Below are 13,508 nucleotides of genomic sequence, written 5' to 3'. Positions count from 1 at the left end.
AGACAAGTCCTTTCTGCCTATGAGCTAGTATAATTAAGAGCAAGTTAGTTACTTCCTAGATACAATGGGGGTACAGGCATTGAATAAATACACCTATTCAAAATGGGAGAAACTGACCAAAACAAAGGGGCTACAGGCCCCATACAAGTCCAAAATCCACTGGGGCAGTCAAATCTTAAACCTCCAAAATGATCATCTTTGATTCCATGTCTCATATCCAGGTCATGCTGATGCAAGAGGGGGTTCCCATGGTCTTGGGTAGCTCCACCCCTGTGGCTTTGAAGGATACAGCCTCCCTCCCAGCTGCTTTCACGGACTGGCATTCAGTGTCTGCAGCTTTTCCAGTTGTATAGTGCAAGCTGTTGGTGGATCTACCATTCCAGGGTCTGGAGGACGGTGGCCCTTGTCTCACAGCTCCACTCAGCAGTGCATCAATGGGGACTCTCTGTGGAGGCACCATTCCACATTTTCCTTCCACACTGCCCTAGCAGAGATTCTTCATGATGAGTGCCTTGCCCCTACAGCTAACTGCTGCCTGGACATCCAGGTGTTTACATACATCCTCTGAAATCTAGGTGGAGGTTCCCAAACCTCAATTATTGATTTCTGTGAACCCACAGGCTTATCACCATGTGGAAGCTGCCAAGGCTTGTGGCTTGCACCCCTGAAACCATGGCCTGAGCTATACCTTGGCCCCTTTTAGTCATGGCTGGAGCAGCTGGGACACAGGGCATCAAGTCCATAGACTGCACACAGCAGAGGGACCTTGGGCCTGGCCCATGAAAACATTTTTTCCTCCTAGGCCTCCGGGCATGTGATGGGAGGGCTACCCTCACATGCTCTGGAGGCATTTTCCCCATTGTCTTGGTGATTAGTGTTCTGTTCTTCATTATTTATGCAAATTTATGCAGCTGGCTTCGATTTCTCCTCAGAAAATGGCATTTGCTTTTCTACTGCATTATCAGGCTGCAAATTTTCTGAACTTTTGTGCTCTGCTTCCCTTATAAAACTGAATCCCTTTATCAGCACCCATGTTACCTCTTGAATGCTTTGCTGCTTAAAGATTTCTTCTGCCGGATACTCTAAGTCATCTCTCTCAAGTTCAAAGTTCCACAAAGTTCCACAATAAAAGAAAAGTTATTTTGTGAATGATTTTTAACAAAATTTGACTAATGGGCAAATGGATGGAATAATGAACCAATCATATTTGGATTTTAAAAATTGATACATTCTAAAGCTCATGCTAGATACGTCTATACATAATTGATCTTATTTAAAAACTGAAGACAACACATGGTCATGCTTTCTGTACAGTCTTCAAAATTGCACAGTTGCTAAGAAAACGTCATTTGATGAATTGAGAAAAATGAAAAACTGAAAGCCAAATTGGAAGCAGAATTTCATTCAGATCTTTTTTATTAAATATATGTGTGTATGTCTGTGTGTATCTGTGAGGGGCATAATACGTGGATAACATATATTATTTAGATCCAGTAAGTCTTTCATTATACATATGTGTGTGTGTGTGTGTGTGTGTGTATGTATTAGACTAGAGGATACATATTCAATTTTCCTAATTTGTCAACATATTTTTAAATGGATTTTTGTTTGCTCTTTTTCAGTATTATGTGGAAGCTTATGTTATTTGGGCACAATTCTTCATTTTCTTCTGTCTTTATGTGTCTAGCATGGATGGAGAAGATTAGCTTGTCTTATTGACTTTGGGCCTGGTCGTGTAACTTGAGCTCTCCAGTGGAATACATGCAAGTAGGCCAGCTCTCAGGGAGATTATGAGAAGCATTTTTGTTTCTACTGCCCATTGAGCTTTGGCATGTAAATGTCACAAGAGCAAGGCATTCCAGATGGGGTGGGGCTTCAGCCTGGGTAAAAAAATGAGAAGCTAAATGGAACAGTTCGAAACCTGCTGTGCACTTGGAGCAGAGCTGCTTCAGCTGACCTACTGAATCACAAGCAAGAAATATAAGTTTGTTGTGAGCTGCTGAGACTTTGGGGTTATTTATTACTGCACCAGAAGTCCAGTAGTGTATCTTGTACCCTGTGTATTTTAAAAAATTCTCAATCCATGATAAAGTGTGTAATTACAACTATTTTTAACAGAATTATTTTTAAACTTGTTTTGCACCAGTGAATACTCTTAGCTATTTATATAATTGGAGAGAAGCAGAGTTCTGCTTTTACAAAATTTGTTGAGGAAAGCCATACACAACAAAGTATGTTCAGAAATACAAAGATTAGAACTATATAATAGTATATGTAGTTGATTCTGAATTAATTTTCTAAAATAAGAAAAATAAAGTACAAATACAAGAATTAAGAAGTAGAACAAACTAGGTTGTAAGTGATAGAAACCTAACCATGCCATTTAGGCCACGGGAAAAAATATTTGAAGGATATTGGGTCTCATATAATTTTTGGAAGGGCAAAGAGACATCTGGTTTTCCTAAACAAATAGAATCAAGAACTCAAATGTACCAGAATACTCTTCCTCACACTCTTGTGTCTGCTTCTTTCACCGTATCATAACTTTCATTTCTCTTGCTGTGAACTGTCTTCATCAAGCTTGTTCAACCCATGGCCCATGGGACCCAGGACAGCTTTGAATGTGGCCCAACACAAATTTGTAAACTTTCTTAACATATTATGAGATTTTTTTGTGAGTTTTTTTAATTTTAATTTTTTTCTTATTTATTTATTTATTTTTGGCCATCATCTATAGTTAGTGTTATTATATTTTATGTGTGGATCAAGACAATTCTTCTTCTTCCAATGTGCCCCAGGGAAGCCAAAAGATTGAACACTCCTGATCTAAATGACAGATATGGCCATGGATACCCTCTCAAGGAATATGTTAATGCTTTGCAAACAGGGAGAGACTTTTCCTCATTCCTTTGTTTTGAAATAGAAAATTCCAAATTTAGTTCTTTTGTTTGGACCCTGTTAGTGTCTTACATTCAACTTTAGGCCAACTGGCTCTGCCTGGGGGTAGTGTAATATAACTGAAAGTCTATTGTAGAATTCCATGACTAAAAACAAGTGAAGAAAATATTCCCTAGGAGATGTTATTCACAGAAAAGAGGATGCTTCCTTGGCAGAAAAAAAAAAATAGATGACAAATTCATAGTATTTGAACAAATAACCCCAAGCCAAGTGAAAGTTTATTATATGCAATTCATATTCAAAAGTCCTTGATTAGGTTTTATGTCAGTGTGTTTCTCAATATTGTTCATGGATAATCTACATAATAATCACAGGAAAACATAATGGACCTAAGTTTGAGAATCTCCACTTTAAATTTTCTGATGCAAAAGTATTTTGTGAGATCAAAAGGAGAAAAACAAGAAATTCTGCTATCTGATGATGACATCAGCATGAAACGATCCCTTTGTTCTTCACATAAAGGACATGCAACTGTGCTTTTACATTTTCTGGTGGCTTATTTGCAATATTTGAAGTAAAATGGCTCTAATTATGTTTTCCTTTTTCTTTTCCCCTTTTAAACCTCCCTTTTCTCACAACTCACTGCACATTTATTGACTAAGACTTTCTTTCCTACTCTCCTCTATTCCTACGGATGCATTTTCAGTTTACTCTCCAACTACTTTCCATTTTCCATTTGCATTATTAAAATACAATCTACAATTCTGTATCTGAAACCCGTGGGCCCAGATGTATTTTAGAATTTTTTTTGTCCTTGAGAAATATCCCATGTATTAGTGAGGTCTGAGTCAAGGCAATACAATACTCCATATTCAAACACATTAATATTTCTGCAGTGAAACTAAGTGGGATAAATATTACAAAAAACAAACAAACATAAACCTTGTCAGTGAAGGTCAGCTTTTGCCATGAATAAGTTACCGAAACCTTGAGGTTTCAAACTGTTGATACTTGTGAATTGCAGATAAGAGATTGCCTCAATAACTAGCCTTATTTCTTGCCCTCAATATAACTTTCTGTTTCAAAGAATATTTCAAAGATGCGCATTTATTTATGAATAAATGGACATGAAGGGAAATATCATGATGGACAAAACAAAGAATGGGTACAGAGAAAGAAGGCCATCAGTCTGCAGGCTGAGTAAAATTTACTAAGTATCACTCTTTAATTTGGAGTGTTGTTATGATATGGAGGAACTGCTGACAACTTATTTCAGTCTCAGGTGTTTAAATACCCTACATATATTTGGGGGGCAAGTTGTTGAGATATTTTCCTTAAAAATCTTATACCATCTCTATTGGTGATGGTGAATTTTCTTGCATATTCTCAATACTCTGTGTATTGGCTATCTCTCTATTTCTTATCATTCTCTCCATTACCTATCTGTCTTCAATCTTATCACATCCTGTGTTAGTTGTATTTATTACCTGTGTTAGTTGTATTATTATTGCTGTGTAACAAATAACAAAAACACCTCAGTGTCATATGACAATTTGGGTTTATTGCTCACATGTCTGGAGTCATCTGGGAGTTGGCCGGGTGACTCTGCTGAACTATGCTTAACTTACATGTCTGGGCTTGCCTGGTTGTTGGCTGATCTAGACTCTTGGCTCAGGCAACTGTGCAGCTGGAGCAGCTTGGCTCTACTTCCTATGTATTCATTCTCCAACATGCTATCTCAAGCATTTTCTCATGGCAATGGCGGAGGCATAGTAAAGCAAGCCCCAGTGAACAAGCCCATTTCTAGATTCTGCTTGTGTCACACCTGCTAACACTCCATTGGCCTAAGCAAGTCATATGATTGAGCCGAAGTGAAGGGACAAATCACCCCATCCCCAGGTCGGTGGCCCAGAAATGTTACATGGCAAAGGATGTGGATACAGAGAGAAATGAAGAATTGTAAGAATCCTCACAGTCTTCAACTCTTCTCTCCTCTGGACTTCCTTGCTTAACCTCTGATACAGTTTGATATGGTCACAATTTATTTCTTTCTGTTTACAGTTCACTCCATGCAACCTCTGTCCTGGCAATCTTGAATTATTTCCCGCTCCTATATACACACCATGATTGTCTATGCTGTTCCCTTTGCTTATGGTGTTTTCTCCTCTCCCAATTTAATCCTTCAAAGTCTGGCTGAAATAATAAAGTGTACATGAATCTTTCCCCGTGTATGATAACTCTTTGTATGCAATGCCCTGTACTAACCAACAAACTGAAGGTAGGGTCAGTGCCTGCTTCATCTCAGTATTACCCACTATGCCTTGAACAAATAGGGTCATGAAAAGAGCATGGCTCACTTCATAAATAGAAGGCCCTACCAAAAGTTTATCATAGAGGAAAAGATTAGTAAAAATGTAAACTGTATGGAAAAATTTTCACTTCTTTTATGAGTTTAAAAAAAAGAAGAAAATCAGCAGAAGAGAATATATTTTACTGTTTAGTTAGGGCTTAGATCATAGCCCACATGGCATTGGGCATAAGGGTGGGAATATCATATTTTGTGAAGCCACTACAACTTGTATTCAAATTCTGAAATGATTTCACTTGATTATTTGTATAAACTGAGGTAGGTTATGGATGTTCTAAGGACTTATTTTTTCTTTTCATACATTTATTGTGAGAATTAAATGGGACTTTTAATTATGTCCCATTATATTATTTATAACTAAAATGTACATATATAAATTATGTAGGGCAACTGACATTATAGGCATTGAGAAATGTCAATTTTCATTTCCTTCTATTCGTTCGAAAGAAAGGAAGTTAAATAACACGATCAAGTAATAATTTAATCTTTTCTTTAGCAATTTCACACACTCAGTGTAACACACATTTACATTAATTTCCTATTCTTTACCAGCTCTCTGGAGAGTCCTGTGGCACACATACAGGGAAGAGTGAGGCACCTCAACCTCTGCACACCAATGATTTGTGACAATGGTGGTCAGCTCCTGTAACATCCTCTGTCTCAAGTATCTGTCTCATAGTCCAGATGGTTGGCAAAACATAATCTGAAAACCTACGAAGTTGCTTTTTATATCTGGAGATGGGCTGATGTTTGATGTCCTGATCTAGTACATCAAAATCTTGTGGAGAAACCACGAGTCTGTCTCTTGTCTGCATAGAATTCAAGTGGACTGCCCTTGGGCCAAAATGATTTTGCAGCTTCAGAAGCAAAAAAAGAAGAAAACTGACAGTGGCTCCAAAGTGACCCTAAACCCACTCTGTACCTTGTTCTGACATTGCTCAGCTACCCAGAGGTTTGATTTTAGTCTTCTAGGCCTCAAAACAACCCTCTAATGGCCCTATGAAAGTGATTTATGTGCAGTACAGGAATAACACAATACCAGTTCTGTGGCCAAAGAGAAGTGAATTGTTAACCTTGGTGCTTTGGGTTTTGGTTTGTCAATTACGTAGAGAAGCTCCCGACAGTATAGTTGTTGGTCAGAAATGAAACACCTGGCAATCTGCCACATCCTGTGGAGTTGAGATCTTGCTTTTGATTTGAAAAGCAGCATCATATTTGTATTTCCACTTAAGTGACTTTCAGCTGCTTTTGAATCACCTGAAGTTGAATGAAAGTATATTTTACCAGGTGTTTTCTAAGCAAGATTGCTTAGAAATCTGCCAGAGTTACTGGGAACTGATTTGTTCATATGTGTAATCATGAATGGGCTCACCAATTTCTAAAAACAAATGATAAAAATAGAAAGACATAATAAGTCTACAGTAAACTAATTCTTTATACTTTTTCATGAGAACAGGTTAAATCTATACTTAGGATGGGAAAAAGCAAAGACGTATTCATTTTATTAAGCCATACCAAACAATGAAAAACCAGGAAGGAAGTAGTTATTATTATAAGAGAGCTCTACTGTCTGTTAAAATACAAATAAGAAGAAGCACTTTTGTGTGTGTGTGTGTGTGTGTGTGTGTGTGCGATCCTGCATATGGCAGCTTGATAAAGTAAAAGACATTGATAGTAGGCTTAGCTCATGATTCTCTGAGATAGAGATTAGCATAGAGAATCTAATTAATTAGAAATGCTCTTATGATGAACATTTGTGGAAATGAGGGAGAAAGAGCAGAACTGGATAGAGGGATGATACAGTTTGAATGTTTGTCCTCTCTGAAACTCATGTTGAAACTTAATCCCTAATGTGGCAGTATTAAAAGATGGGACTTTTGAGAGGTGATTGGATCATAAAGGCTCTGTCTTTTTCATGAATAAATTAATTCATTCATCAACTAATGGGATTAATAGGTAATGAGTTATCATGGGAGTTGGCCTGGTGGCTTTATAAGAAGAAGAAAAGAGAGCTCAGCTAGTACATTTAGCTCCCTCACAATGTGATGCCCTTTGCCACCTGAAGACTCTGCAAGCATTCTCGCCAGCAAGAAGATCCTCACCATATGTGACTCCTTGACCTTGGACTTCTCAGCCTCCATAACTGTAAGAAATAAATTTATTTCCTTTATAAATTACCTAGTTTCAGGTATTCTGTTGTAAGCAACAGAAAATAGACTAAGACAAGGGAGATTGCAGTTCCAGTGAAGCAGTAGGGGGTTGGGGCTAGAATGGCCCCTTGGAGTTGGCCCAGCTATATCTCTTTGTGATCAGTCATTGGATGTAGGCTGCACTGGAAAGAGTCATGATCTAGGACAAGCCTGGTTTTTCAGCTAAAGCAGTCTCCCCGAGGAGGACTGGCAGTAGAAGTCGTCTTCTAGCAGCATTACCCAGCAAATGAAGGGATAAGCCTTTCAGTCCTAAAGGGGGTTTTAGATATCACAGGGCCCAACACACTACTTCACCAGTTTATTTTTTTTCTTACAACTCAAGTTTCTAGTCCATAAGAATTACTTTTGTCACCTCCTGTCCCCAAGCACCAAGCAATAATCAAAAGTGCCAGATTCATGGATAAGTTTGCTCTTTTTATTTTTACAAAATGATATTGATTCAAGCCTATCACTTTATATTAATTGAGTATTTATGTGCTCATTGAATTCAGCAAATACGCAAAGCATTGCGAACATTTTGGTGAACAAAACAAAGTCCCTGTCCTCCTGGAGCTTATGGCCAACCCTCCCCATTATTGACACCAACTTATGAAGTGTGTCTTCTGTAGAATAGCTTGTGATTTTGGATTATGGCAGAATAAAAAGAGGGCCTCTGAAAAACAACACTGTTTTTCAATTTTCCATCATCAGACTAATAATCGTGGGCATGAACATACTTATGATTTACAATAAAAACATAAATCCAATTATACAGTTTTAAATTAAATTTGAAGGCTAACATGTAGCCCATGACTGTCTACTTTTATTGCATATTCATTTCCTGTTTTGCAGGTATTAGTTTGAAAAAATACTTTGAAGGAGTAGGAATTTATCCATGAAGTGAAAAGAGACTAAAGTAACTAATTCAAATGAGGAAGTTTTTTTTATTAGTGAATTATGCCATTCTCACATTCTTCAAACTTAAATGTTTAACCGCTCTAGCTAAATTGATCTCATTCTATTGTAATTTTGACGTGAATAAGTGAAGAGTAGAATGGAAATTATAGGTCAGAAATTATCTCCTCTAAGTAGCATGATTCTTAGTTGCTGTTCTGTCATTGTACCCATGTTGTGGCTCAAGGGTTTATTTAATAACTGCTCGATAATGACAAATGAGAAGGACATTATAATAGATGTATTTAATGCCAGTAGAGAAGTCTGTTTTCATGAGCACCCTTTTGGTTACTAGTGTTATATAACAAACTGTCTCCAAACTTACTGACTTATAGCAACAACTGCTTATTGCTCATGATTTTGTTGGTCAGAAAACCAGACTGGATTCAGCAAGGGAAGTTTATTTCTGCTCAAGAATATATGGGGATGACATGACAACTGGGGACTGGAATATTCTGGAGGCATCTTTGTTCCAATGTCTGGCACATGGTCTGGTATGACTCTTGGATCACTGATCGGAGTGCCTGTCGGTGGCTTTTCCACATAGCTTGGTTTCCTCAGACATGGTAGCAATAGGGTAATTGACCCTCTAATGAGATAGTTTAGGACTCTAAGCATGAGTGTTCTAGTGGATATGAGGCCTTTCATATTCTAGCCTTACAGTAAAACACCTCATCCCTCAATTTATCAGTCGAAGCATTCACGAGCCTGCCCAGATGCAAGGACAAGGATGTAAACTGTGTCTCTTCATGGGAGCAGTCCTGATATCAAAAAATTTGTCCCCATGTTAAAAAAAAATTTCTGCAGGTATTGTAAATCCGAAATAGAGAGCTGTAGAAAAAAATATTCTGCATCATGTAAACCATAAGGAGCATGATATTGAGGAGAAAGCGAATAATGCAATTTATCTCTTTACACTCATGACAACCCTGTGCAGTAAATCTCACCATCCTTATTTTGCAGTTGTGCCAAGTGAAGCCAAGTAAAGATGAGGGACATAAGCAAACTCTTGCTGCTCATCTTCTTAGAGAAAGTTGGAATTTTGGTTTCTGATGCTGAATCTCTTGCTTTTTCCACTCCTGCATTCTGATCTAATTCTGTGATGTCTTGCAGCAGGGTAGAAAAAAAGTGATTCATGTACATTCTGGAGACAATAACATAAGTAGAAATCAAAAGACAGTTGGTGTGAGTTATTCAATGTTTTTGGACACAGTTTTTTCAACTCCAAATTGAGAAGACTTGCCTTGAGATCCATGGAACATGGTTTATGGGAGATTTATGAGAAAAAGTTTTATTCGATAGGGAAATAGCTTTGGGAATTCTTGCATTTCATATTTCATTTTTGGACAATATACTGAAATATCTCAGCAAGACTCCAGTAAGAGAAGAAACCTTTTTATAAGATCACCTATTGGTATACCATGGAATAATTTTCTATGGACTAACTTCGGACACAGAAAGTGAGATGGGCTCTAATGTATGATTCTAAGATTTTACATCCACTTAAAAATTCACATCAAAGTCAGTGAATAAAAAAAAACGTTTTAAAGTGTGTGTGGTTGGATCATATCCTCATGTTCTTAAAGAATCTTTTCTGCTAATCTGTCTATTTTTATTGGAGTATTTAATTTGTTTACTTTTTATTATAATGATGGATAAGATAGGATTTATACCTGTCATTTGCTGTTTGTTTCCCGTATGCATTATGTCTTTTTCTTCCTGTGTTTCTGCACTGTTGTCTTCTTTTGTGTTAAACAGACATGTTCTACTGTACCATTCAAATTCCTTGCCGCTTCTCTTGCCATACTTTTTTTGATATGTTCTTAGTGATTGTCTTGGGATTAAAATTAGCATCCTAATTTAAGATGATCTAGTTCTTATTAATACAAAATGGATCTTAATATTGTACAAAAATTTTGCTCCATGATATCCCCATTCCTCCTGCTCTTCTTTGAACTATTATTGTCATATAAATTACATTTCCTTTATTATAAATTCACTAATACAAATTTATAATTATTACATTATGAAATTGTCTATTAAATCAGATAGGATAAGAAAATAGTTCAAACAAAAATACTATTTTCCATATTAACCTATGTAGTTAACTTTACCAGTGCTCTTTACTTCCTCATGTGTATTTGAGTTACCATCTAATATACTTTTATTTCAGTCTGAAGGACTCTCTGTAGTATTTCACTTAGGGCAGGTCTGCTAACAAATTCTCTCAAATTTTATTCATTTTGGAATATCCTGAATTTTTTTCATTGTTGAATGAAAGTTTTGCTAAATATGGGATTCTTTGTTGACAATCTTTTTTCTTTCAACACTTTGAGGGTGTCATTCCAGTCTTTTCCAGCTTTAGTGCTTGTGTTTCAAAGTCAGCTGTTAATTTTATTGAGGATTGTTTGTCTGTGAGGTCATCTTTTTCTTGCTGCTTTCAATAATTTCTCTTTCATTTGTTGTTGTTGTTGTTGTTGTTGTTGCCTTTTGTCAATGTGTCTATAGTGTGTGTAGATGTGGATCTTTATCTTTACGAGTTTATTGAGGTTTTGGATGTATAGATTAATGTTTTCATCAAATGTGGGGATTTGACCATTATTGTTTCATTTTCTTTCTTCTTGTTTCTCATTTTTTTCATTTTCTGGGACTCTCATTGTATGTATGTTGGTATGTTTCACGGTGTCCTACAAATATGTTCAGCTCTAGTCATTTATTCTTTATTCTTTTTTAAAATTCCTCAGACTAATTTTTTCTGCTATATATTCAAGTTAGTTGATTCTTTTTATCTGACACCTCATTTCTTAAACACTTGAGTAAATTTTTGATGTTAGTTGTTGTCTTTTTCAACTCTAATAGAATTCTTATTTGGTTATTTTAAAATATGATTTGTTTCTTTCTTATTAGTCTCTATTTGGTAAGACATCATTGCCATAGTTTCCCTTAATTCTTTAGAAATGGCTTTTTAAGTTATTTTAAAAGTATTTAACATAGCTGATTTAAAGTTTTTGTCTGCTAAATCCAGTTTTGGTCTGCTTAATTTAATGTAATTTAGCTTAAATTTAAATTAATGTAGCTTAATTGCTAGCTTATTTTTTTTTTAAGTTTTGGTTTCTATTTTTATTTTTTAGGCTTGGCTTCCTAGGAGTTACCACTTGGTCAATATAATTTAGTAAGAAGCAAGTAATTGGTCAAAAGATTTTCATAAATGCTTTACCTTTAGGTCTTTTACCGTTTGCTAAAGGGATGTTTATAAGACAACTGTAGGTTTCACTTCCTGCTTGTGGGAGTCCTCAAGGTCAGCCAGAGGTGAATGACTGAGGTCTTATACTTCCCCAGGTTTTTAACTATACACAGTACTGGGTATGCAAAAGCTCTTCCAAATCCCCAGGAATATGTTGGAGCTTTTCAAAATTCCCTCTGGTCCTCAAGTTCTTCAGACTTCCTTTTCGATTTGTAGCCAGGATCTAGCTTTTCCTAAATGGAATCACAGCTTTAGGCATCTACAATGTTGCTAGCAGATTGTGATTCTTTCCACTAATCTCCAAAGATAGGGCTTTTCTTTGCTGAGTTGTGGTCTGAGTGAAGTAAAATAGCCACACCAACCTGGAAATAGAGATTTTTCTGGGAAATTACTACTTTGGACAAAATATTGACAGTGCTTTGAGGATGGGTCTTTTAAAAGAGCTCCAAAAGATGCCAGTCCTCTTTTTCTGTGAGGCTTCTGGCTTTTCGTGGCTACTGTGCCACTGCGCGGTTGAGAGAGAGTGTGGTGGCAAGTTAAATGCCACACAGTCTGAGGTCTTACTGAGATTTAGTCATTCCTTTTAGATAAGAAATTTTGTTTGTTGGTGGTTTTGTTTAATTTCAAGAGTTCTGAAATTATTGGTTTTACTTGATTTGTCAGAATTTTCATTGTTTTTGTAGGGGAACAGGTTCATAGACATCCTCACTTTATCCTTTAATAAACTCATCTAATGCTGTTTTTTTTTTAAACTTCATGTTGATATGCATTGGTGTGATCTTTTTATTTTATTATCCTTTATTGGATTTTGCCACTTAGAAATGTATGTCCTTTACCTCTGGTAATATTTCTCACATGATTTTTAAAATACTTTCCCTTTCTCACTTTTCCTTTTTCTCTCCATCTGAAATGTCCACTTCTTATATTAATTTCCTAAATCTCTTACTATTTATCTCATATTTTTTGTTTCTGCTCTCTTTTTTCTATATTTTAATAAGTTAATAAGATGCATGTGGGCAGCTTTCACATTTGGGCTTGAGGACTATTTCACAAAGAGCAATTTGTCATATTAATGCAATTTTGAAATTAAAATGGTTAATTACAGTATAACAGAAAGTGTACTCACCACTGTAACTCATAAGCTTAGTTGATATTTACCTTCTTGAGCTACTTTTGGATGAGTGATTTTGGTAATTATATTCTAAATTTCTAAAAATTATTTATCTTCCATTATTTAAAAAAATACTCTTCTTGTTTTATGAATATAACAATTTCTTATTCTTCACTGTGCCAACCAACTAACATTTTTTATAAAGTTTTGCTTTATGTTTTCTGGACTCCCTAAAATGTCTATTTTTTTTTCCTGCTTATTTTGGTCTCTCTTTTTTAAGTTGGGAGCATATTCCAGTGTCTGGTGGTCCTTGTTTGCCTGTTTCACATTAAGAGTGAGACCCTAAAACTTACTGGCAACTTTGCATGCTTTGGTGGGCTTTTAGGCTGGTGGGATTGCATTCGAGTGATTATTTGGACAGTGAGCAGATCATTTAGCTAGGGCACTCATGCTAGTATGCAAACAATATTTTTTATTGAAGCCACTGAGTTTCGTTAGAGAATAAATTTTTTACCACTTGCATGGGAGCTAGAAATCTGGTTTCCATCATCTTATATACAGACTTTCATTAGTAACCAACTTATTGTTGAACCCTACATCTTGACTCTTCTGTCTACTTTAACCACCATACTGGTATCTCTGAGTGCCACCCCTTTCTAGGGATCTTCTGGTAAAATTATCCCTCCCATTTTCCCTATCTCCTCTGCATCTGCCAACTCAGTTATCATCCTTCATCTATTTTCT

The 13,508-nt window shown here is 36.2% G+C and overlaps 1 annotated feature.

Annotated features, from left to right (window-relative positions):
* Positions 663-846: a silencer, noted in NCBI's record as "fragment chr20:7756914-7757097 (GRCh37/hg19 assembly coordinates)". NCBI's record gives its function as "represses an EF-1alpha promoter that drives an FKBP-Casp9 reporter gene in an ReSE screen in HepG2 liver carcinoma cells {active_cell/tissue: HepG2}" and the evidence as "EXISTENCE:reporter gene assay evidence [ECO:0000049][PMID:32094911]".

This window comes from Homo sapiens, chromosome 20 (assembly GCF_000001405.40).
Source record: "Homo sapiens chromosome 20, GRCh38.p14 Primary Assembly".
Taxonomy (NCBI): Eukaryota; Metazoa; Chordata; class Mammalia; order Primates; family Hominidae; genus Homo; species Homo sapiens.
The sequence above is the reverse complement of the archived record's forward strand: the minus strand, read 5'-3'. Positions and strand labels throughout refer to the sequence as shown.